Source organism: Homo sapiens, chromosome 3, assembly GCF_000001405.40.
Source record: "Homo sapiens chromosome 3, GRCh38.p14 Primary Assembly".
Classification (NCBI taxonomy): domain Eukaryota; kingdom Metazoa; phylum Chordata; class Mammalia; order Primates; family Hominidae; genus Homo; species Homo sapiens.
This window is the reverse complement of record NC_000003.12, coordinates 160,908,406-160,933,064: the sequence shown is the minus strand read 5'-3', so window position 1 is coordinate 160,933,064 and position 24,659 is coordinate 160,908,406. Positions and strand designations below refer to the sequence as shown.

Here is a 24,659-nt window from a genome sequence, read left to right as displayed (position 1 = left end):
GTTAATCATACTCCCTTCATGGATCTCTTATAAAGAAAATAACCTGTGTTGCAAATACTGGATTCCATTCTGCTTGTTTTAAAGGGAAAGAGAACTAGCACATATTAAAAGCCTACCATAACACCTGGCAGTGTGTTAAGCATTTTCACAGTGTTTATCATTTAATTATCACAGCCATTTCCCAATGAGAAAACTGAAGCACAAAAAGATTAAATTCCCCAGGTCGTTTAGCAGTGAATGATGAGGCTGAAATTCAAATTCAGTTCTATTTCAAAAGACACGTTTTTCTAATATACATGACCTCCTGGAATATCTGTATTAGTGGCAGCCATGTCATAAAACATTTACCCAGCTAGACACACAGGTAAGATGCCATGAATCTTGGTCTAAGGATAAATGAACTTGGGGAAAATGATTTGATAGACTAAGATCAGCCATGAATATCATACCCAAAAACAGACAAATGGCAATAATAATCATTTATCAAATGTGAAGATTTTGATCATTTAAAGGAGTCTTCATCCTATAAGATTACTTCATGTATTTCCCCAACAATTCTGAGAAGCAGTGAGGCAGGTATTATCACCACCCTCAGCTTGTAGCTAAGGCAACTGAGGCATACAGCAACTAAACAACTTACCCAAATAAGACTATAGGTGACAAAATAGAAGTCAGAAACAAAGTTTCTTAATGCACTGTCCAGCACTATGTCTCCTATGTCATGCAGCATTTGGGAAATAATTTGTATCAAAATAAAACTTCTGATAGCTTGAAGAGGTGCCAAGCATTCCCTGTAGCCCATACTTTAAGCAGATATTATATCACAGTGGAAATACAGGCTTTTCTCAATCCATCCTATTTCAGTCAAGTCAAATTGCTCTGTGTTCATAACATGCTCAAAACCATATTCACTTTATTGCTTTCTTGAAGAAAACCTTAGGTAAATTTTTTTTTGAGAAAACATACATAGCTAAAAAGGTTTTCCTCACTCCTCCTTCCCTTGGATCCCTGCTTTGAAATAAAATAAATTAGTGGAAGAACTGACCATAAAGAATGAGAAAGAGCAAAAAAACAAAAGAATGACTCCTCTGCAAGAGCTCTTCAAGTTTGGCATTAAAAAAGTCTCTGAGAAGGCAGAATTGACTACTTAGAGAAAGTATTATACACAAATTTATATTCCAATAAACAGTGATGTTTCTCAAAGTAGCCTTTTTAAAACAAATTCTTAGCTCTACTTAAGAAAAGTATAAAGCACCATCTGAAGAAGAAAACATTTTGGAAGAATAGGTTTGCATCAAAACCCTGGAAAATACTACATCCTAACCTAAGGATATTTAGATACTGACTAATGGTATTTAATTTTAATTAGGAACATATGTGAACTGAAAACAAGGACAAATAGTGAGACCCACCCTTTATGTATCCTCTGCCAAGAATGCCTTCCCCACACATACCAAACTAAGTTAGGAGATCCCTGCTCTTCTCCCATCTTTTTCTTTTTCTTCTTGCCACTTAGCACAATTTATAATTGGGCATGACAATGTGTGATGTCTTGTTTCCCCCATTAGATAGCAAACTCTATTTCACCACTATAGCCCTACTGGCTAGCATAGTGCCTTGGAAAAATAGTAGGTGTTCAGTAAATAATTGCTGAATGAACTAAATGGATAAATGAGGACGTGTGGATTCCAGGTGATGGGTGCAGCTTCCCATTTGATCTCTCCTGTTCTCTAGCAATTTCTCCAACCTTTGAGTGGAGAAAGTACTTTTCTGGTGTGGTACAGGATGGTCAATCAGCTTGTGCACACAGGCAAAATACCATAACCACAAAAACCTACACTGAGTATGTGGACATGGTATGTGTCTGTACAAACTTCAGGCTGCCTAAACCAAAAAGCAGAGAAATACTGGCTGCCTGAGCAACTCATATTTTTTATTTCAAATGTTTGTCCCCTACTGTCTTAATTAGTGTCATTTATACATTTAGTTAGAAGAGCATGTAACTGAACCTCTCAGCTTAGAAATGCATTTTAAAACTTTTTTTGTCCCCTGTCTTAAACTACAGCCTTAAAATGTACCTTAAAATTCACTGTTTCCCTCTCTTTCCCACTCCCTGGCACTCTGCACTTATCTAACCATATGCTTGCTTAGAAATTCAAGGGGTAATCTTGAAATGAACCAGGCATGAAGACTTAGGTATGGAATTCTCCCCCAGTTAGAGGTACCTCAAGGCAGTGAATCTACAACCCAGCCGCAACCAAAATGGCACCAGCTCTCACTCCAGGCGTGTAAGAACTGAAGACGGCCATCAGAAAGTGACATGCAGACCCACAGCATGCACCACTCCTGCGTGTTTCCCATACGAAGCTTCCCTCTTAAACTCCTTCACTCCGCCTAAAATTTTGAGATGGTTCCTTTGAGGCTTCAGCCTGGTCATGTCTTCTGTTGGCATTTGAATAAAACTGCCTTCCTTGCACCATATCTCACCTCTCATGTATTTGGTTTTTCAGGTGGGGAGCAGCTAAACCGGAATTCGGTTACAAGCAGTACAAATTGGAAGCTGTGTATTATGAACAATACTACCTCAACTAAGTAATAAAGTATGAACTAACGAGATACAGAAACAAGTCACTCAGGCTAGCCCCCATAAATCTCTTGCAAGTGTTTTCTTCTTCAAGAAGTACAACCACATTTTATTCTCTCTTTTGTTTCATTCAGTCCTTGTATGTCTTCAGGGCAAAGGGAGTTAATTCCCCACATTTGTGTAGCACTTCACAGTTTACAAAACACTTTTTTTTTTTTAAGGGACTGCTAAATTAGAAATTTCAACACAGATACCAAGACATGTTCATGAAATTCCACTCTGAAGTTCCAGGCCCACGTGTACATTTGTAAAAGAAACACTTTGCGACCTGTTTTGTGGTTCTAAAAAGCCCTAACCCACATTCAAAATGAAAGAGTCAAAAGTATGGAAATCAAGGGAGAGTTTCTGAGGAAGGTTTCTTGGGAGCACAGTGTCCCCCTTCTCACATGTAACACAGAGGGATGAGTGATGGTGACGTGGGCAAGTCAGGAGAGAGGGGCCTCAAAAGGGCTGTTCAGGAAGCCTGGCATGTGCCCCTACAGTTTGGAGGGGATATGTGTGTGACTCCTGCCTGGAAAAGCTGGAAGAGCAGAAGCTGAAGGAGAGGTGGGAAGGTGGTGGGGACTGTGCTAGACTGGCCTGCACTCCCAGTGCTTGTCTGTCCAGGATCATGAGTGCTCCCTGTGGACAGATGCGAGCCACAAGGGGGAGAGAGCTGGCCTGAAGCCACTTCGATCCTGCCAGAGGACTGCCTGGAGCAGTGAAAGGACCTCACAATGGAGCATTTATGGAACAGATTGCTGAAAACCAGGATATGGGGAAAATGCACTGACTACACTACAAGTAAATAAAATGAAGAGGGTAGGCATGGCAGAAACTCACAGTGACCAGCAGGAAGAGTCAGCTTTAAACACTTAACTAGACACTGAAGCATGAAGCCATGTGTCACTATCAGCCAAGTAAGCACTTTCCTGCCCCCTCTCTTTTCCTCTCCCTCTTTTCCTTCCTTTTCCAGCTTAGACCCTGCAGGATCAGCAACTAGCAAGTGGAAACTTAAGGAAGACAGAGTTTCTAACTGTCAAAGGTCTTAACTGGGGAAGGGAAACTGGGAGAAGATTTAACTCATATCAACTTTGAAGTTTTGAGTACCTCATGGAATTGGCCATTCTACTCTGATAATTTCCAACTAAAAGTCATTGTAATAAAGTATATTACTTAAAATTAAGAGAAAAATCATAGGACCACCCAAGTTTTCATTTTGGGGTAGGGAGGAGCTTCCTCTACTGAATACACTCTAATTGGAAAATAGGAAAATAAAAATGCTTTCTGGTTAGACCCCTTGAATCTTGTTTTTTTCAATTCACTGGTTACTAGATGAGTTGAAACTCTTTCAGTCAGCAAATCATAGAAACCTGACAAGCTACCTTAAGCAAAGCAAAACAAAACAAAAAACTGCTGTAAACATAGGAGTTAGGTTTGCCTCAAAGAAAACTAAATCAGAAACTTAGACCCCATCTGCCTTGCATCTCTGCCTTAGATCTGCTTGTCTTCATCGATTTGTGCTGCTATAACAATATACGACAGAGTGAGCATTTTATAAATCAAATTTATTATCTCATAGTTCTGGAAACTGGGAGGCCCAACATCGAGGTATTCGCAGGTTCAGTCTCCGGCGAAGGCCTGTTCTCATAGATGGCACCATCTAGGTGTCCTCGCATGGTAGGAGAGAAAGAGGGACAAAAGGACCTAGCTAGTTCCCTCCAGCCCTCTTATAAGGTCACTAGTCCCATTCTTGAGGGCTCTGCCCTGGTGACTTAATCATCTCCTAAAGGCCCTACCTCATAATACTGTTCACTGGGGATTAAGTTTCAACACAAACTGTGGTGAGTACATAAATATTCAAACATAGCACTGATACTCTTTGTATGCTATCATATTCTCTCCAATAGAGGGAGTCGGAAGGTAGCAATTGGCTACCAGTAGCTCCAAACGCTGATCCTTACAGCAATACCATACTAGAGAAAAACGCCTGTCAGGATGGCATTGAAAAATCCCACAGGAAGACTCTAGTTGGCCCTGTTTCAATCATGTGACCACCTCCTGAGCCAATCACTGTGTTCAGATGAGGTGAGGTACCAGGCCATATGCCCTGTGGTCAGGATGGGTGTGCAGTCTGTTGCTAGAAGTGAAGAAGGGTGCTAGGCAGATTAAATACTTGAACCCCACCCCACAATTTTACATCCATTATCTCATTTTATCCATACTTTAGAAGCGAAAAACTAAGGAACGTATCCAAGGTCATACAAAAAAGCAAGAGTTTAGCTGTCTATGGAAGCCAGATCATCGAACTATAAATCTGGTATCCTTTCCAATACTCTAAATCTCTCCTTTAAAATATTTTCTAGAGCAAATAGATCTAATTCATTTGATATCTCCCAACAGGAAAGTAGATTAAGTGACTTCTAATGTCACTTACCTCTAACATTCTAAAATTGTTCACTAACTGGTTTAGTCCAGGCTTTGTGGTATGATCTGGAGTCATTCATTCTCTATTTAATTAATTCATTCAATACACATTTACTGGGTACCTACTACACACTATGTGCCAGACACTCTTCTCTTGCTGTATTGCTCATCTAGGAGCCCTAATACTAAACAAAGCCACTAAACCACATAGCAACTGCCTGACCAAAAATAGAACAATAAATTCATATAGTCACTGCTTAAAAGTAGCCATTAGTGACAAGTTTCGTTCGACCAGCTACCAGAGGGAGAGAGGCAAATAGCTTTTCTTATAGACATGTTAACCACTAACACGCATTTACGTGCATGCGCGCGCACGCACACGCACGCACACACACACACACACACACATAGGGAAATGAAAGATCTCATGAAATCGAGAAATTTTTCATGGTATAAAAATCACATAATATGTAACAGTTTCACTACCAATGAGTCTAAATCTCTAGTTTAAAAAGAAAATTCATCAGCATCAGACTACAGACACAGCTATAAAGTAAAGGAAGAAAAAAAATGCTATGTAGGGTTTTTTTTTAGACCTTAAATGTTGTTGTTCAAAAGTTGCTCTATGTTATGATTTTATGATTGCTCCCTATTTTAAAAATATCCACAGCATGTATTAAACATCCATCATATCACACCAGACAACTTCAAAGACACAACTGGAAATTACTTTGCTTTTCCAGCTGTACTTTCTTGAGAGAGCTTCTGGTTAGAAAAGATAACACAGCCCAGCTTTGATTCTGGGCCTTTGTTGACGTTGGTGTATTAAAGTAATACAGGTTAGGGTTTTCTATCTTTAAGTCATGGGATGTTCCTTGTACATATGTCTGGCAAAGGTAAAGGTGCAGAAAAAGGCCTCCTATCCCATTGTCTTTCAGAGCTTCTATTTACACAATATTAACACATTTGCCTTAGGTGGAAAACCTAACAAGTCTGACTTTCTTGATTCATCTGCAAAATGGAAATAATACATGCTGTGAGGCACTGAGGATCAATGATTATTTATAGGACTAAACAAGCTCCTTGGAATATACTTGAAATAAAACACGCACAAGTGCCTTGCCTCTTAAAGAGGTTCCTTTATCAATGTATGTTTTACATATCCAATAACCCAAGCAAGTCAGGAGAGCTCAGGTGAATGCTATCATAATGACCAACTAACTATTCTGGGTCAGAATGCAGTCCTGTGGCTTAGTATCTTGACTTTGTACCCACCACCCACAGCCACCACTGGCATAGCATATTCATAGCAGAGCCCAGAAAAGGAATTTCTCACATTGAAACAAACATCCCCCTACTTAATCAGAGGGAGCCATAGTCAGCACAGCTAACAGATTCTTTTGCTCCAAAGTCAATTCAATGTACACTTTTGTTACCCTGGAACATATTCAGCATGGGGTAGGCATTAAGGGGGGGAGGTTCTAAGAAGTCCTTGGCTTTAAAAAGCTTAAACTCTTGGTGTGCTGACTGCCTTATCGAAATGAAACAAAAGAGCAATCATGCAGTGGAAAGAGATCTGAATTAGGGGTTCTGGTTCCAGGTTTACTATTTATCAGCTTTCATATCAACACAGCAGTCTTCTCACTGCATTCATTTTCAAACAAGGACCTAGCTAGATTGTCTGTAAACTGCAGTTCCCACATTCTAAGATTCTAATCAAGCATCAAAATGCATGGAACAACCTATTATGGCTCAGAAATCTTTAAGAGAGGCTGCTGCTGCAGCCCTCCAGAAAGAAAGGTTTCAATTGAATTACATTATGAATCCACAGAGAAAAAGACGCTAGAGGAAAGGGGCAAAGGGGCAGGTAGGTATACAACCAGACTTTCTGGCTGTATTTACATAGGTTCCTGAAGGAGACCCTCTGCCAGGACCCTAGTCTCAAAGTTCCTAGATACAAGACCCGTCTCTCTCATTCAGCTACCCTCAACGCTGCCTCTTCTCCTTCTCTCAGTAATATTCCTTGGTGCTAGAATTCTGAATCCAGAGGTTTGTGGCTGTGAGATTAGCTTATACTACAGCTAGAATATCCACCACCATCACCTCTCTCAAGAAGATCCTTTAAAGAATGTCAGCACCCTATAAGAGTGCAATGAGTAGAACTAGAAAGATGGGGTTTCTGTCCTTTCTCTGGCCCTACCCCTAATTAGTTCTTCAGCTCTGGACTAGCCACTTACTCTTTAGACTTCATTTTCCTCCTCCAAAATATCTGTCTTACTTATATCACTGATTTCATCTAAGGATCTCATGTATCTCTTATACATGAAATAATAGGTATAATTAAACCATAAGGTATTCTCAAAACATATGGTAGAGTTATTTTCATCCTTGTTATGATTTGTTGAGATAATGAATTAAGAGTTGGTCTTCTACTTCCAGTAATGGCGGGTTAGTTTCCAGTAAAACAGCCTCCTGAGAACACGAGGACTCACTAAACACTTTACAACTAGTGTAAAAATCCAAGACTCTAAATTTTGTTAATAATAATCACATTAGAACAATATGCCAAACTCAATTGAATTGATGTTTTGATCACCTAAATGGCTAACTTAAAGTAAAACTACATTTTATTTCCATCTATTTACCATTTACTCTGTAACATACCATGCTAAATAAATAAAAAACCTCTCAAAAAATTCATGATTCCCATTTCCAAAACTCACTGGCAGTATAAACTGGAATGAGAAGTTCAATTCTGCGCATATAAATGTGACACTTATAAACAGGGGTTTTAGTGACTGGTAAATCAGAGTTGTAGAGCAGCGGCTGTTGTAAATGGTCATGACCATTTCTTGTTTGATAACAACAAGCAGTTTCCATATTTATAATTCTAGAAGCTGATTTCAATGATTAGGTATAGCTTCTTGATTTTCTGCTTTTTACAACTTGAATTTGTTTGGGCAGATGCAGTTTATTCTGAAAGGAAATATAAAACAAATAGGAGAGAATAGTCTTTTTACATATTTTTGCTAAGCTAGGCAAAAAATGAACCTCTAGCATGTCTGCAATGAGGTTTTATGTCAGTAAAGAGCTGACAAAAGGACAACATACCAGAAAGGAAATCTAAATGCGAATTGTTTCCTATCATTAGATATAAGTCAGAATTTAGCTTGTAATTTCAGGTTCACTTTGCAAAAGTACCATAACTGACCTATCTCTGTCCTATATGGAGAAGAATACCCTATTACACAAGTGCTCCCTTTACTCTGGAGATTTTTCTCTTTGATAGGCCATGAGGTACTATATATTACATTGAGATTGAGGAAGGCATATGCCAGTATCTCTATCAAGCCTTGAAATAGCAAATGTTTTTCAGGTACCAACTATACTAAGGATGCTGCGTTTTTCTAACACCTAAGCTAAATGGCTTATTGAACTATTTTATATTGTCCTGGAGAACAATGGTAGGTAGGCACTGACTTCCACATTTGGAAGTTGTCCCATTGGTTATTAGGCTAGATTTGGCTAGCTAGACTTGATTCTTTCTTCCTATTACAGAACCTGCCAAAATTAGGAATGATTTCCTTTCTTGGCTAGACCTTTTGATTCTGGAAGTTTCAGATAAAAAGAGAGAGAACAGCCAAACGTTTTAATGTCCCTATCCAATACAATATTTAACTATTACCCACACTGCTTCCGACCCTTTGCAGAAGATTGGATTCTTCAATGTATCCAAAATTTCTAGGCTTCAAGCTGGTATAGCTGGGTTTTGCTCACAGCCCATAGCCAAGCTCTGTGGGAGCAACTGACTGACAATTCCAAAGAGGATAATTATTTCCCTGGGACAGAAATTGTGGCTCAATGGCAACACCAAATCGCACCCTCTTTCAGCATTTACCTCTTTTCTAAAACAAACAGAAACAAGTGAATATAATTTCTAATGAAAACAGACTTTTAACAGGACATTTGTTGTACTGTTTTTGTTTGTTGTTTGTTTTTGCTAAATTAGCTCAACTTCTCTAAAGGGGGCACACAGATGATGGTTTACCTTGCCTAAAAATAGCAGATAATAGACAGAAGTTGTTCATTCCATCTGCTTCCCCTGAGAAGAAAAATAAAAAACATTTTGTGAAGGTATCAGGAGTCCCAGAGCCCAAGGAGAGGACTGTCCTGAGACTTTATTACTCTTAAGGCTTCAAATGCACCGCCACATGCTCTACTGAAAACACTATTTTGCCAGTCAGAGAATCATTCTTGGGGCATATCAAATGCAGTAGCATCCTACACTGTCTGAATTTCCAACCCAGCCTTACTACTCATTTAAAAGCAAGGGATGACTGAAGAGGAAACTGATATTTTCTTACGGTTAACTACTTTTCTATTTAATATTCTGGACACCATTTCAATATTCTTTGATGTGACGTGATTTGAGAGCAATAGTGAGAGAAGAATAAAGCTATTTCCCAAGTGTTGCCATGGGTTGAGCCCATTTCAGAAACCAGTTGCATATGCCACTCAATGGCCTAAAACTTGCTAAAATAAGGCCATATTTTCTAAGTTATCTTGAGGGACTAGAACAACTTCTAAAGCCCTTTCTTAAGAATCAGGAAATAACACATATGGTTTTTATGAAGCTCTTCAGAACAATAAAATATTAATTCAGAAAGTACCGTCAAATGGAAATAAGGCAAAAATCAGATGAACTGGTTTCTATAACACGTGACTCATTCCAATTTCCTTACTGGCTTCAACAGGAGCTGCCCAAAGTCTCATGATCAAGCTTTACTATGATATCTATAGTGAGATCCTAAAAGGTAGAGTAGTTTCATTTAAAAATAAACCTCATCAGTGAATAGGGAATAAATAAATTACTCTTAAAACTGAACTTTTTTCTTTGTTCCATGAGGTCATTCTTAATGTAAATTGCCACAAGTTCTAGCTACATTGCTAGTAATAATCTCCATGTTAATTCTACAGCAACTCCAGCTGAATAGGCATTAGTTTCACTCCAGAAAAGAGGAAATTAAGTACATTAGTAGTTTATTCGTTGGCAGAAATCAGGTCCAATATTTAGGTACCTGCCCTTTTATTATCCAAATTTCAATATTAGGATATGGTCAACCTCACTTTATCATACCCTTTATGAGAAGAGAACCCATGTCTGTGTTAACTATGATTATATTCTTTTGCCTAGCACAGTACCTGACATATAGATGGTTCCTTAAAAAGACAAAAGTTTTATTACATAATTTTGCTTATCTGCAAGTACCAAAAGTGTATAAATCCTTTTACTTTTCACTGCTGTGGGAACCATTACTTCATGACAGGTGACTTCAAAGTAGATACTGAGATATCCAAATTCAATCTATCTCATTGTAAGTATCTGTTAGAGTTGTATGGTCCTGAGAATATGAAAGAATATAAGATGCCATCTAGTTCAAAAGACCTTAGACTTAGATGAATCATTTGTATAACTTGGGAACCAAAAAGATATAAGTGATGAACCTGGTGGGTGATGGAGAATTATATGAGTAATCGGGAGGACTTAGTAATGTGTAAATAATCTAGACCCAGGGACAGAGGAACATATAAGACTCAATGCCTGTTTTGAAATCCCTGAGAAAGTAACTATAAAATGGGTTCTACTATCATCATCCAGATCTCCTGGAATCTAGTCAGCAGGAATATATGTAATATATTTTTTTTAGACGGAGTCTCGCTTTGTCACCCAGGCTGGAGTGCAGTGGTGTGATCTCGGCTCACTGCAAGCTCCACCTCCCAGGTTCACGCCATTCTCCTGCCTCAGCCTCCCAAGTAGCTGGGACTACAGGTGCCTGCCACCACGCCCGGCTAATTTTTTGTATTTTTAGCAGAGATGGGGTTTCACCGTGTTAGCCAGGATGGTCTTGATCTCCTGACCTCGTGATCTGCCCGCCTTGGCCTCCCAAAGTGCTGGGATTACAGGTGTGAGCCACCGTGCCCAGCCGTCAGCAGGAATCTAATCAGCATCCAGATGGGAATTTCTGGTCATTAGTAACCTTTGTATACTGAGAAATGCCCTGAATTACTTGATATTTGGTAGTTTCCTTAGTTGGTGATGAGACAAAGTGCTCTGGGTCTCTGCAACTCTAGGTCTTAATACTGAAATCCCTGGTCATAAGTAACCTTAGTTAACTGAATTTTTAACTGCCTTCCTCAAATGGGGTTGTATCTTTTATACCTCAGAAGTTTAGAAAGTTAAGTGTAAGTATGTAAAGATTTTTAAGAATAAAATAATTATTTTTCAAGAATCTATTAATTTTTGACATTTTATATATTTGGAACATTTGAGAAAATTTGAGGATCACTGTATTTATAGATTTGATTTATTAAATGTGAAGTTATTATTTACTATCCAGTGACATTTTAAATAAGATAATTTAAGTTTTTAAAAAGAAATACATATATTAAATGTATAAGGACAGTTTAAATGTTTAATTAATTTTGTAAATGGGACTAAACGTTATTCAAAGGCCCTTTGAAATTATTACTAACTTCTGTCTGACTTATACATAAAAAAGAAGAAACTAGAGTTGGAAGCTGAACTGAAAAGCCTAAAGTAGTTTTTAAAAAGTAAATGTCAGTTTTTAAAATCAAAATTAAACCTTATTAATAGTCTTTTTGTCACATATAAAAATCACCCTGGATAACATAAAAAAATCTCATATCACTCACTGCCTGTGTCTTTACCATCCTAATATTCAGCCTGCTGACTGGCCAGTCCCCACAGCTGGCCTTAATGCCGAAGCGTCATCTAGTGATTTAAAAGGGTAACTGCAGGCTCCACAGTTACGCAGGAGGAAAGATTAAATACTAATTTTTTGCTGTCTTTGTTTTCTGTTATTCTTTACAGGAACATACTATAGTGAAAAGCAGGAATTGCCTAACTTAAATTTCAGGAGTTTCAATGAGTTTTGACTGGTGAAATCTGGTCAGATTTCTATGTTTTTGGCAAAGATGGAAAGTAAGAGAAAAGGGTTTTGTAAATTTCTGATACCGAGAAAACTGAATAAAAATGTAAGAAAATGGTGAGATAGTCACTACTGTGCTGCTGTCTCACATTGTGGCCATCTTATAATGCAGGCCTTCTAGTAACTATACCTTCTTAGCTGCCAGGGGAACCTGGTTATGCTAAATTTCACACTACAATTGGATCATGTTATAGTCAGTTTCTAGTATATGAAGACAGTCAAGGAGATGAGTAAAATAACTTTACAGTATTAGCATTTTGAAATAAAGCTTCCCTCATCACCACCCTCCTACTGCTAAAAGGGATTGTCCGAAACAAATACTCTCAGATCTTTAATATGTGTGTGTGTGTGTGTGTGTGTGTGTGAGTGTGTGTGTGTGTGTGTGTGTGAGAGAGAGAGAGAGAGAGAGAGAGAGAGAAACTAAATGCATAAGTGCAGTTGCTGGGTTTCAGCTGCCTCAAAGAAATATACCGTCTATCCTTGGTAGATGGGAGACCATACACCGCACTCCTAAAAATCAAGTCCTTCTTATGTGCAGGAAAAGTAAACAGGCTTTGGTGGTCTTCAGGTTTTATCCATTTAGAAATTCCACATGGGTCATTAAACCCCATTGTGAAAGAAAAGGCCAAGAAAGGCCCTTGCATGGTTGAGATACTGGGAGCCTGGGGAGGAGAAGGGGCAAGCTGGGAGTGCAGTTGGGCCCTAGAGTCTTAGAGGCCTGGCCCTTATTGCCATAGAGCTCCCAGAGGTGGCAGACTTCTGAGCAGGGTACCCACAAATGGCTGTGGGCACTGGCTGGCTTCAGAATATCCTGCCCTTGGCTGACACTCTGGAGCCCGCCTGCAGAGACAAGAGCTGTGGAGAGACACTTTTGAGAGCTCCCCACCCCCAAGGAGTGAAGTGCCATTTCAGACGTGGTAAAGTGGATAGAAGGAGCCATGGTGACCATAGTGATGGCTCAGGACCAGACATCTGCCCATGTTCCCAGGACCCATTTAAGCCCTGGGAGTCCAAGGCAATACAGTGTTGCAGGGGAGAGGGCATTGTGGGGAGAAAGCTGGGGAAGGAATCCCAACAATGGGCGACATCAGATACCTCACCAGCAAGCAGGGCTCAAAAACCAATTTAAGTAATAAAAAGAAAACAAAATGTTTTATTGAGCCCAGGTTTCACAGAGCAATTCACCCACCTACTTGCTTATTAACTTCCTAATGCAAAACAGAAATAAGCAGGTATATGACATTTTGATGTAGCTTTTTTTCTGAAAGGGGGATATTTTTCTTCAGTCTAAAACAAACTAAGCTGACAAACTATGTCAGTTATAATGTTATAACTTTTGTGTCAAAACATAACTAACATTATAACTATATATATTAGACTATTCAGTCTAAAACAAACTAACAAAAAAGCTACGCGTTCTTAGCTTTTGTATACATAACAAGTAATGCAATATTTGCAACAGACGTCCTCTCTCGCTCCAAGAGCCTTCCTCCATCCATCAGCCTACCAGGTACTGTAAGGTAGCATGAGGATGACACCCACGCATGCCTATAATGCCCATTGGTTATTAAGAAAAATTTTTGTGTGCCTTTTTATATTTAAGACAACATTGTCAAAATGGCCACAATCAAATATCCTATTTTGGAAGAAAGCCCAGTTCTTAAGTGGCCCAACTATGATCCTAGATAAATGAAAAAGTAGAAGAACATAGTTGTCACAGAGGCCAGATGGAGAGGAAAAGGCAGAAGGAAAAAGAATCTCTCAGAAAAGGCTTGTAGAGCAGTCAGCCTCCTGAATCAAAGACCATTAAAATACCTGTCTAATCCAACACTTCATGTATTTAGTGGGCTTCCCCAATTTTATTCTAAAACTAAATAATATTAATGATTATGATTTTTACTCATTCATATAAAAAGGATTTCAAAGACATTATCCCAGTCTGAGGAGATTTCACGAGCTTTTTCACTAACCATCCCAGTGTTAAATAACCCTTCTCTTTAATCTCTGTTTTATTCCTGGTACTGCACTTTAAACCCGGTCTCCTTCATTTGTATGTATCATTGTACTTACAAGTCTAATAACTTCAACATGGCATTTTTGAACTTTAATGTTATTGCCTAATGTTATTTACTGCCATCTAATTTTTTATCATTAGCAAACTTGTCAGTAATGAGCTTTTTCTCTTTTCTGGATTTAAATTATTCCAGGCAAGGGTATTTTATTAGTTACTAGATCCATGAAACAACATGCTTCTGATTGTTCTCTTTCAGCCAAATCACTGGTGAACTATTAATGGTTCTTAAAGTATCACTTGCAAAAGTATTTTTTAAAATTATAGAAATATAGCATATTCAATTTTTCATTTTGCTATGGAGGATATTTTTATATCAAATAAGAACTCTTAAGGAAAGACAAAATCCATAACTTCTTTATTATGCTAGAATATTTATGCATAGTTTCATTTTTCAGATTCAGTTTTATTTTTCACAGCTTAAAGACATCTAACTTAAAGACACCTTACTCTAAACTCTTATCCATGTGATGGTTTCTAATAGAAATTTCCAAACAGATTAGAGCGCAAATTTTCCAAAGGTTTTAGCATGCTGCTTTTCCAAAGTACTGTGCAGACAAATCTTGGTTCCTCAGAAGTTATTCTGGATTTATTCAACATTCATTCAACCATTCCTTTATTTAAGAATTATGTATTAACTCTATACCATGTGCCAGGTACAACTGTCCTAAGTGATAGGCTTATATAACAGTGGATAAGACAAGCTTTTGCCCTCAAATAGCTTTCAGTCTCATCGGAAAGAAGAGCAAATAAACAGGTAATCACCATATGGGGTTGTTAGTGCCATGATATTATAAGCAAAGGGAGCTCAAAGGAAGGGCAGCTCAACCAGTTTTTCCCAGAGAAAATTCCATCGGTGGGTGACTCCTGTGAGTGAGAAGGATTCGCGTGCAAGTGTGCATGTGCAGCTGGGGAGAGGGAGGGCACAAAGGCATTAGGGCAAGGAACAGGACAAAGTTTTCCAGGTGGTCAAGGTGCTAAATCTTGACACATAATTGTTTTGTTTATCATTTTGGTTTGAAATCTATCTTGAATTTTATTACGAACAAAGAAAAGGAATATTAATCACAATGTAAAGTCTTTGTAACTCATGGGCCATCACATTGTTGGTGTACCCTATGACACAGGGATGCCCTTAAGATCCACTGGGCTTTGCCATACATGTACTAAACGGTCCCAAATTGGCCTTCCTTTGAAATCATGTTTTTTTTAAAATATGATTCTCTCCTTCTCTAATCTGCTATCAGTGTTTTTGCATATAGGAGTCCCTCTTTACCACCACCTCCCCACAACTCCCACCTTTTTTGCTTTTAATAGCTGCAGGCAGGGGAAACAAATAACCAGTCTTATGAAAATCATGCCTAATATAAGAATACATAAGCTCTGAGTGATATTGGAGGAATTATGCTGTGCCTGAACCATATGAGATATGAGATATAATATCTATTTTAGTCATCCAGAGATCACTTTGCTTACCGTACACTGATTTGTTATATTCAAGATAATTAAGGCCAGAAATGCAAGTCCTGGAAAGTCAACAATTTCTAAAAGTTGAAACACTTTCACTGACCTGTCACTCTATAGTTTACATAATAAAGTAAGTTTTGAATCTATATAACTAGCTAGAATAGGCTATTTACAATGCTAGCAGATTGAGAGATTTCTTTAATAACTTTAAGCAGCAGTGGAATTATGAGACCAAATTTGTCCCACTAATTAATTTGCAGAATGCTTACTCAATGTCATTGAACCAAATACTATCATGTAAGCTTCTAAGTCAATAAGGGCAGATGATAAATTACATGAAGTTGTGGAAGACCAGAAGTAAATAGTATAAGTAGCATTCAAGAATCCTAATTCCCTCTCTTGTCCTCCAGCATTTGTTCTCTGAGCTCTTGAAAGTAGTGCCTGTGTTCTTCCCCAGGAAGTTTAGCTTGGAACAATGCATAAAATAGCACAAAAAATAGCTGATGAGCAAGTGTTTATATAGTTTAAAAATTAAAGTCACTGGCAGAAAAAGAGTTTGATGTTTTGTTTCTAAGTTACTTTTAAATTGGTGGTGATCAGGTTCTCTTTTCTTTCCTATTTGGAGGGCCTGACTCCACCAATAAGCTCCATGGACTTAATCATGCACGTATTCAACCCAAATGCCTTTCTGATACCTAGAAATGGAATAAGAAGCATATGGAGGAAAAAGCAGTAACTTAAGTTAGAAACATATGTTTCTCAAAGGAGTTGCCAGAAAAAAAAAAGAATATAAAACTGGCACTCATCTAGCAGCTATCTTAAAAAAAATTTTTTTTAAGTAGATTGCAGAGTGTACTGGAAGAAGAGATATGTAGGCAGGCATCCTTTTTGAAATCTGAGATCATGCACGTTGAAGATGACAAAAAGAATATTTTTATCGATATTTTTCTATTATCCTCAAATGAGCTATATCATAGCAGATGTGTTACATTTTAGCATCTAGACCATTATTTTTATTACAGTAATGCACTGAAAGCACTATCATGGCAAGATTTTTAATAATTTCCGGTGGTCAAAAATTATATCTAGGATATATAAGAGCTCCTTCTTATTGTGGTTTTGATTTGCATTTCTCTGATGGCCAGTGATGATGAGCATTTTTTCATGTGTGTTTTCACTGCATAAATGTCTTCTTTTGAGAAGTGTCTGTTCATATCCTTCGCCCACTTTTTGATGGGGTTGTTTGTTTTTTTCTTGTAAATTTGTTTGAGTTCATTGTAGATTCTGGATATTAGCCCTTTGTCAGATGAGTAGGTTGCAAAAATTTTCTCCCATTCTGTAGGTTGCCTGTTCACTCCGATGGTAGTTTCTTTGGCTGTGCAGAAGCTCCTGAGTTTAATTAGATCCCATTTGTCTATTTTGGCTTTTGTTGCCATTGCTTTTGGTGTTTTAGACATGAAGTCTTTGCCCATGCCTATGTCCTGAATGGTATTGCCTAGGTTTTCTTCAAGGGTTTTTATGGTTTTAGGTCTAACATTTAAGTCTTTAATCCATCTTGAATTAATTTTTGTATAAGGTGTAAGGAAGGGATCCAGTTTCAGCTTTCTACATATGGCTAGCCAGTTTTCCCAGCACCATTTATTAAATAGGGAATCATTTCCCCATTTCTTGTTTTTGTCAGGTTTATCAAAGATCAGATGGTTGTAGATATGCAGCATTATTTCTGAGGGCTCTGTTCTGTTCCATTGGTCTATATCTCTGTTTTGGTACCAGTACCATGCTGTTTGGTTACTGTAGCCTTGTAGTATAGTTTGAAGTCAGGTAGCATGATGCCCCCAGCTTTGTTCTTTTGGCTTAGGATTGACTTGGCAATGCGGGCTCCTTTTTGGTTCCATATGAACTTTAAAGTAGCTTTTTCCAATTCTGTGAAGAAAGTCATTGGCAGCTTGATGGGGATGGCATTGAATCTATAAATTACCTTGGGTAGTATGGCCATTTTCATGATACTGATTCTTCCTACCCATGAACATGGAATGTTCTTCCATTTGTTTGTATCCCTCTTTTATCTCATTGAGCAGTGGTTTGTAGTTCTCCTTGAAGAGGTCCTTCACGTCCCTTGTAAGTTGGATTCCTAGGTATTTTATTCTCTTTGAAGCAATTGTGAATGGGAATTCACTCATGATTTGGCTCTCTGTTTGTCTATTATTGGAGTATAAGAATGCTCGTGATTTTTGCACATTGATTTTGTATCCTGAGACTTTGCTGAAATTGCATATCAGCTTAAGGAGATTTTGGGCTGAGACGATGGGGTTTTCTAGATATACAATCATATCACCTGCAAACAGGGACAATTTGACTTCCTCTTTTCCTAATTGAATACCCTTTATTTCCTTCTCCTGCCTGATTGCCCTGGCCAGAACTTCCAACTGGCCATCAGATAAATGCAAATCAAAACCATAAAGAGATACCATCTCACACCAGTTAGAATGGCGATCATTAAAAAGTCAGGAAACAACAGGTGCTGGAGAGGATGTGGAGAAATAGGAACACTTTTACACTGTTGGTGGGACTGTAAACTAGTTCAACCATTGTGGAAGTCAGTGTGGCAATTCCTCAGGGATCTAGAACTAGAAATACCATTTGACCCAGCAATCCCATTACTGGGTATATACCCAAAGGATTATAAATCATGCTGCTATAAAGACACATGCACACATATGTTTAGTGCGGCACTATTCACAATAGCAAAGACTTGGAACCAAGCCAAATGTCCAACAATGATAGACTGGATCAAGAAAATGTGGCACATATACACCATGGAATACTATGCAGCCATAAAAAATGATGAGTTCATGTCCTTTGTAGGGACACAGATGAAGCTGGAAACCATCATTCTCAGCAAACTATCGCAAGGACAGAAAACCAAACACTGTATGTTCTCACTCATAGGTGGGAATTGAACAATGAGAATACATGGACACAGGAAAGGGAACGTCACACACCGGGACCTGTTGTGGGGTGGGGGGAGGGGGGAGGTATAGCATTAGGAGATATACCTAATGTTAAATGAGGAGTTAATGGGTGCAGCACACCAACATGGCACATGTATACATATGTAACTAACCTGCACGTTGTGCACATGTACCCTAAAACTTAAAGTATAATAAAAAAAAGAACTCCTTCAACTCAATACTAAGAAGTCAAATAACACAGTAAAAAAAATCAAAGATTTGAACAGATGCTTCACAAAAATACATGTATGAATGGCCACCAAGCATATTAGTAGTCACCAAAGAAATGAAAAATAAAACACAATGATATACCAATACACACCTATTAGAATGACTAAAATTAAAAAGAATGTCTACGCCAAGTGTTGGCAAAGATGTGGAAGAACTTGAAATTTCATACACTACTGGTAGGAATAAGAAAAAAATGATACAACCATTTTGGAAAACAGTTTGTCAGTTTGTTATAAAGCTAAACATATACTTAACATACAATCTAGCAATCCCACTCCTATTCACCCAAGAAAAATGAAAACATATTTCTACTCAGATGTACATATTTGAGTACTCAAAGATATGTATATCTTTGATTAATGGTAGTCAAAAACTGGAAATTAATGGTAGTCAGAAAACTGGAAACAACTCAAATGTCCATCAGTATCTGAATGAATACACGAATTGTAGTATATTCAATGGAATACTAGTCAGAAATGAAAAGGAATGAACTACTGACATATAAAACGACATGGATGAATCTCAAAAACATTATGCTGAATCCCCCAAAAAGCCAGATATAAGAGTACATATTATACGATCTCATTAATATGAAATTCTAGAGAAGACAAATTTACATCTATAATGACAGAGGGCAGTGATTGCCTGGGGCCAAGGATCAGGGTAGAGAATAACTGGGAAGGGGCACAAGAAACATTTTGGAGTAATTGAAGTCTAGATCTTGATAGTGGTGGTATTTATACAGCTATATACATTTATCAAAACTCACTGAAATGTACTTAAAATGGGTTTGTTTTACTGTGGATAAATTATGCCTCAATAAAGTGATTTTAAAAAGTAGTTTCATGCTAACAAAACTAAAAAATATAGGTGAAATCAGATTTTCTTCGACCTCTGACATCAGGGTTCACTGTCTACACCAAGGTGGGCTAGATTTCCTGCTTGTTGTCCAGAATACAGAATTTACCTATTCTGTGACCTCATAATTTAACTTTTTGTGCATTATCTCCTTCAAAACCCATTAATCCAACTCTTCTACCTGTTGGGGGGCCTAAAACTCTTTGAGCTATTACTTGAGCCTCTGTTCTTCTTCCTTTTAATCATGTCTCCAGGAACACCTCATCTATTTTCAAAAATTCATATACCATCTTCATGGATTTTGTCCACAGGGCATCCCATCTATCCCATGATAACCTGTTTCATATTCATCTTACCCCATCACAGTATGTAATGCCACCAAATGAACAACTCAAAGAGGTTATCAAATGTAACTTTTACAAAAGAAAGCTTAGGGTTATCTACATCATTCTTCATCACTTCCTACAGCCATTCTGTTTCCAAAGTCTCCCCCTTTCTTCACTGGAGGACCTCCTACTACACTGTAAAATCTTTGGGGAAGGGATCATTTATTTTTCAGCATTTTAATCCTCACAGTGACTATAGCAATGCTCTAAACTTCATAATTTCTTAATAACATCAAGTAAATTAGTACATACATAAAACTATCAATGAATCTGCTATAATTATCGCTTCTTCATCAATTTCTACATGACACACTTCAATCTGAGCCCATAACTCTTTTGCATGGATATTCACACTCTAATAGAAGGTCTTAGGGGATCCAGATAAATCAATTGCTAGAATTGGTGGCATTTCAGACCTTAGTAAAAGACAGGAAGACCTCTTAATATCTTTATCCCTGCTTTTAAGGGTTTGCTCTCCCAATACAGAATCCTGTTAACAGAGGGCAGGTCCATGGTTGTATGAAGAGTACACACCCTGGTAGAGGCTCTACTCTGCAGATGCCATGATTTATTCCTCTGTGATTAACAGGCAGAGTTAGATGTGATAATATACGGGGAAGCCCTTTGTAAATGCAACACCAACAGATATAAAAGATTATTTCCTAACCTATAGTAGGTAGGGAGGCATGGATTTGCTCAGAGATGGCAAATAGATTCCCCCTTGTATAATAATTTGCCTGAAGTACAGCCTTAGGGAAAGCTCACAGAAAGGTTTTCACTGGGCCCAGGACGGAGCTTGCAGATTACATACCCCACATGATGTCTAAATCCCCATTCAGCTTTCAGGCATGATTCTAACCTCATCAAAACCACACATTTTATGGCTTTGCACATACCATTATCCACATTATTCAGGTCTTCCCAAGCCTTCTAAATCCTAACTCTCCTTTCTCACTACTTCTGATGTAACACAGATTAATCTCACAAATTGAGAAGCCTTTTCTACCAGCTTCTCTTGTTTTCTCTCTTGAATGCAGAGATACAAACTACTCTCAGGGTTCAACACTCCTCCTCCATCACTCCGAGAAGCAGATGAATTGGCATTAGTATGGAACCAATGCCAAATGGTTTACATGTTAGGAAGTGGTACAGTTAAATTTCTTGGATCCACTCTGTGTGCTCCTTTTGGATTCCTCTATCTGCATCACTAGAAGTTACTGGTCCTCCTTTGAATTGCCTACTCCCATATGTGAAAAGGCTGTGTCTTGCTTGGCAGGACTCCTGTCTTGTGAGGGTCTAGGCTAGAAGGCAATGCTAGTACACTCTCTTTCTCTCCCCCTGGGGTTTGTTTTTCTCATTGCATAGGAATGGCAGGAATCCAAGGATAAAAATTAGACCTCAGTAAAAGGAGCCCAGGCAGACTTCTTTTAGTCTAAGTCATAGGCCAGAAGGATAAAGGGAATACTCACTCACAAGTGGTTGAGGCCAACCCACTAGACCTATAGCTTCCATGGAAGGCTCTGGGGTCAAAGCCCAGCACAAGGAAGAAGGTGCATTTGCTAAGAAGGTCTGCTCTGCAGAACTCTCTGCAGAACCTATGGCAGTGCTAGACAGCTATGGTTGAGGATTGGTGACCTGTCTGGCTACCCCTCAAAATCTCCATCAGAGATACATAACATACAACCTCACCCTCAATCTCATTACTCTGACAGTGACATATACTTCTACCAAGAACACATGTAAGAACATTCACCTTTATTCAGATTTCTTACTTATATTCTGCCAAACGTAAGAGATCCAAAGGATGAGACTATTAATATCAAAATAGTACACCTGCGGTAGGAAAATACCAATGAAAATCCCAGTTATTTATGAAGCTATGCATATCCCTGATACCCAAAGCATCACACATGAAAACTAACTCCTTCCTCATTACAGGTGACTGGATGCTAACCTATCTTGTTTGGTCAAGCTCTTTAATCTCCAAATGAGGTACAAAAGTACCATAATGTTAAAGTAATTTATACAATAAGATAAGGTCAAACTTCAGTTCCTGAATCCCCGAGTTCAAGAAATATCTTGGATTTCCAAAGAAATTGTTTACCATGGTGCATATCATCTTGATTACCTGTGGCAGCCTGCAATAAAGGTGCAAAATTTAAAAATTTCAATTTCTCTCAATAAACAAAAGCACAACAACTAAAAGAAACACTTAATAAGAACTTATTTACCAAATGTAATTGTTAGGAAACCTTTTAAAGACATATACACAAAAATAAATAAATTAGATTCAGGAAATAACTGGGTTTAAAATGGAAAAGAAAATAAAAGCCATGGAATTAAACTGAAAGCTTGAAAGTTTCAGGCTCCGGCCAGGCGCGATAGCTCACGCCTGTAATCCCAACACTTTGGGAGGCCGAGGTGGGCTGATCACTTGAGGCCAGAAGTTCACTTGAGGCTGGTCAACATGGCAAAACCCCGTCTCTACTAAAAATACAAAAATTAGCCAGGTGTGGTGGCGCATGCCTTAATCCCAGCTACTGGGGAGGCTGAGGCATGACAATCACCGGAACCTGGGAGGCGGAGGTTGCAGTGAGCCAAGATTGTGCCAGTGCACTCCAGACTGGGTGACCAGTGAGACTCTGTCAAAAAGGGGAGGGGAGGGGAGGGGAAGGGGAAGGGAACGGGGAAGGGGAAAGGGAAGGGGAAGGGGAAGGGGAAAGGGGAAGGGGAAAGGAAAGGGGAAGGGGAAAGGAAAGGGGAAGGGGAAAGGGACAGGGAAGGGGAAGGGGAAGGGGAAGGGGACAGGGAGGGAAAGAAAGTTTCAAGCGCTGAATATATTTCAAGATTGAGAAGTCATCATAGTAAGCATTATTGTTCTTCTGACATGCTTAAACAGAACAGCCAGACCCTTCTTTCACTTGTGACTTCAAAGAGTAAATAGTTAATATTCATGACAAGACCTATCATGACAAGAAATAAATACTCCAGCCACAGCCCCTTCCTTCCTCCCAGGATTACGGGGTATTAACTAGGTCAGTACATCACCTTCACATTTTTCAGAAACCCAGAGCTACTTCTACAAACTCTGAAGACTCCCTCAACCCACCCACATGGGCAGAATTTAAAGCTCCTGGGGGAAAAAGAAAGGACTAATTTACAAGTTGCTATAAACATAGTTCTTAATGTCGCATTGTTCTAAAATCTTCTAAAAACTCCCCGACTCCTTGGCTTCTATGACAACTGCAGTTCCCTGATTTTCCTCTTAGTTCTTTGATTTCTTCTTCTCAGTCTTTTTAAATGGACTTTTGTCCAACCTCTCTGTAGGCAGTTCTCTGTTTGGTCCTTTTTTCACGCTAAACTCCCTCCTTAAGAGAGGGCTCGCTTACTTTCATGGCTTTAAAAATATCTTCAGGCTTATGTTCCCAGATTTCTATTCTGAACCCAGGCAACTCCTGAGCTCTAGACAAAATTTCCAGTGGATCTAAATGGACATCTACATTAGACCAGTGCTAATACCTCAAACTTAATAAGTCTAAAATCGAATTTGTTAACTTCCTTCCAGAGCCGGCTCTTTCTTTTCTACTGTCTCTTAGGTAACAGCTTCACCTTCTACCAATTACTCCAAACAGAAATCAAGAAACCCCCAAGTCTATTATCAGCACTTATGATGTCTTATATCTATGTTCTCCATTTCCTTCCCATGCCATGGCCTTCAGGCAAATCCTCTTCCTCCTTCATGCAAATTCCTCCTCATTCCTCCTACACTATCACCAAAAGCCTCTCTGCCCCATTCTCTTCCATCTTGAGCTGATCCCTTACCTTACCATTATTTATCTCCCCTTTACAAAAACGTTTCTAAGGTCTATGTAGAAAACATAAAATTATTAGCAAAGCACTCAGGACCTTGACAATTTAGCCCTGTTCTCTCTTGGCAACCTAATCTTCTACCATGTTTCTGAACACCCTTCACTCTTGCCATTGCTTGTATATGTTGTTCACCAAGGTTCGGTCTTGAATAATTCTTACCCCACCTTCATATTTGTATTTTTATTGAGTTGTGCCTTATTCATGCCATTCCCTAAGCCCAAAATGAATTCTCCTCTCCTCTACCATAATTGTATTCACCACTCAAGGTTTAGCTCAAACACTAGCTTCTCTGAAATCACTCTGTGCACTCCTATACTATTACCTGTCCCTGTAAGACAGTATTTATGGGACACTACTCATCATTACAGTTAGTTGTTTATGCACTTAAATACCCTACTTGGTGGTAAACTGTTTTAGAGCAAGGACTCTGTCTTGGTAATCACCATACGCCTACACTATTTATCTCTGTGTGTTCATATTAAGTGGAAGGTTTCCATAAATATTTGGTGAAAAAATCTCATCAGTCATCTTTGCTTCTATGTTATAGTATCTGTTTCTAAATGTAAGATACACTTTAAAAAAAAAGAAAGTAGTAATAAGCAGACTACATATAGTGTCAACTTCTCTCAAGTAGACTTTTTCTCCAAGTTTATGAGTATTTATAAAACAAGGCTCCAGGAAACTGATAAACAACTATCCAGCAAA

At 38.5% G+C, this 24,659-nt stretch overlaps 1 protein-coding gene across 5 annotated transcripts in view, besides 2 other annotated features; it reads right to left on the bottom strand.

Moving 5' to 3' along the window:
- The window catches only part of PPM1L (protein phosphatase, Mg2+/Mn2+ dependent 1L), a 322,672-nt gene that overhangs the window by 145,838 nt on the left and 152,175 nt on the right, over positions 1 to 24,659 (bottom strand). The gene's annotated exons all lie outside the window — the stretch shown is intronic.
- Positions 4,493 to 4,542: a silencer, noted in NCBI's record as "silent region_14862". NCBI's record gives its function as "represses an Ori minimal core promoter by ATAC-STARR-seq in GM12878 lymphoblastoid cells {active_cell/tissue: GM12878}" and the evidence as "EXISTENCE:reporter gene assay evidence [ECO:0000049][PMID:35858748]".
- Positions 21,370 to 21,664: a silencer, noted in NCBI's record as "tiled region #1323; K562 Repressive non-DNase unmatched - State 24:Quies". NCBI's record gives its function as "represses a minimal TATA promoter and a strong SV40 promoter by Sharpr-MPRA in K562 cells {active_cell/tissue: K562}" and the evidence as "EXISTENCE:reporter gene assay evidence [ECO:0000049][PMID:27701403]".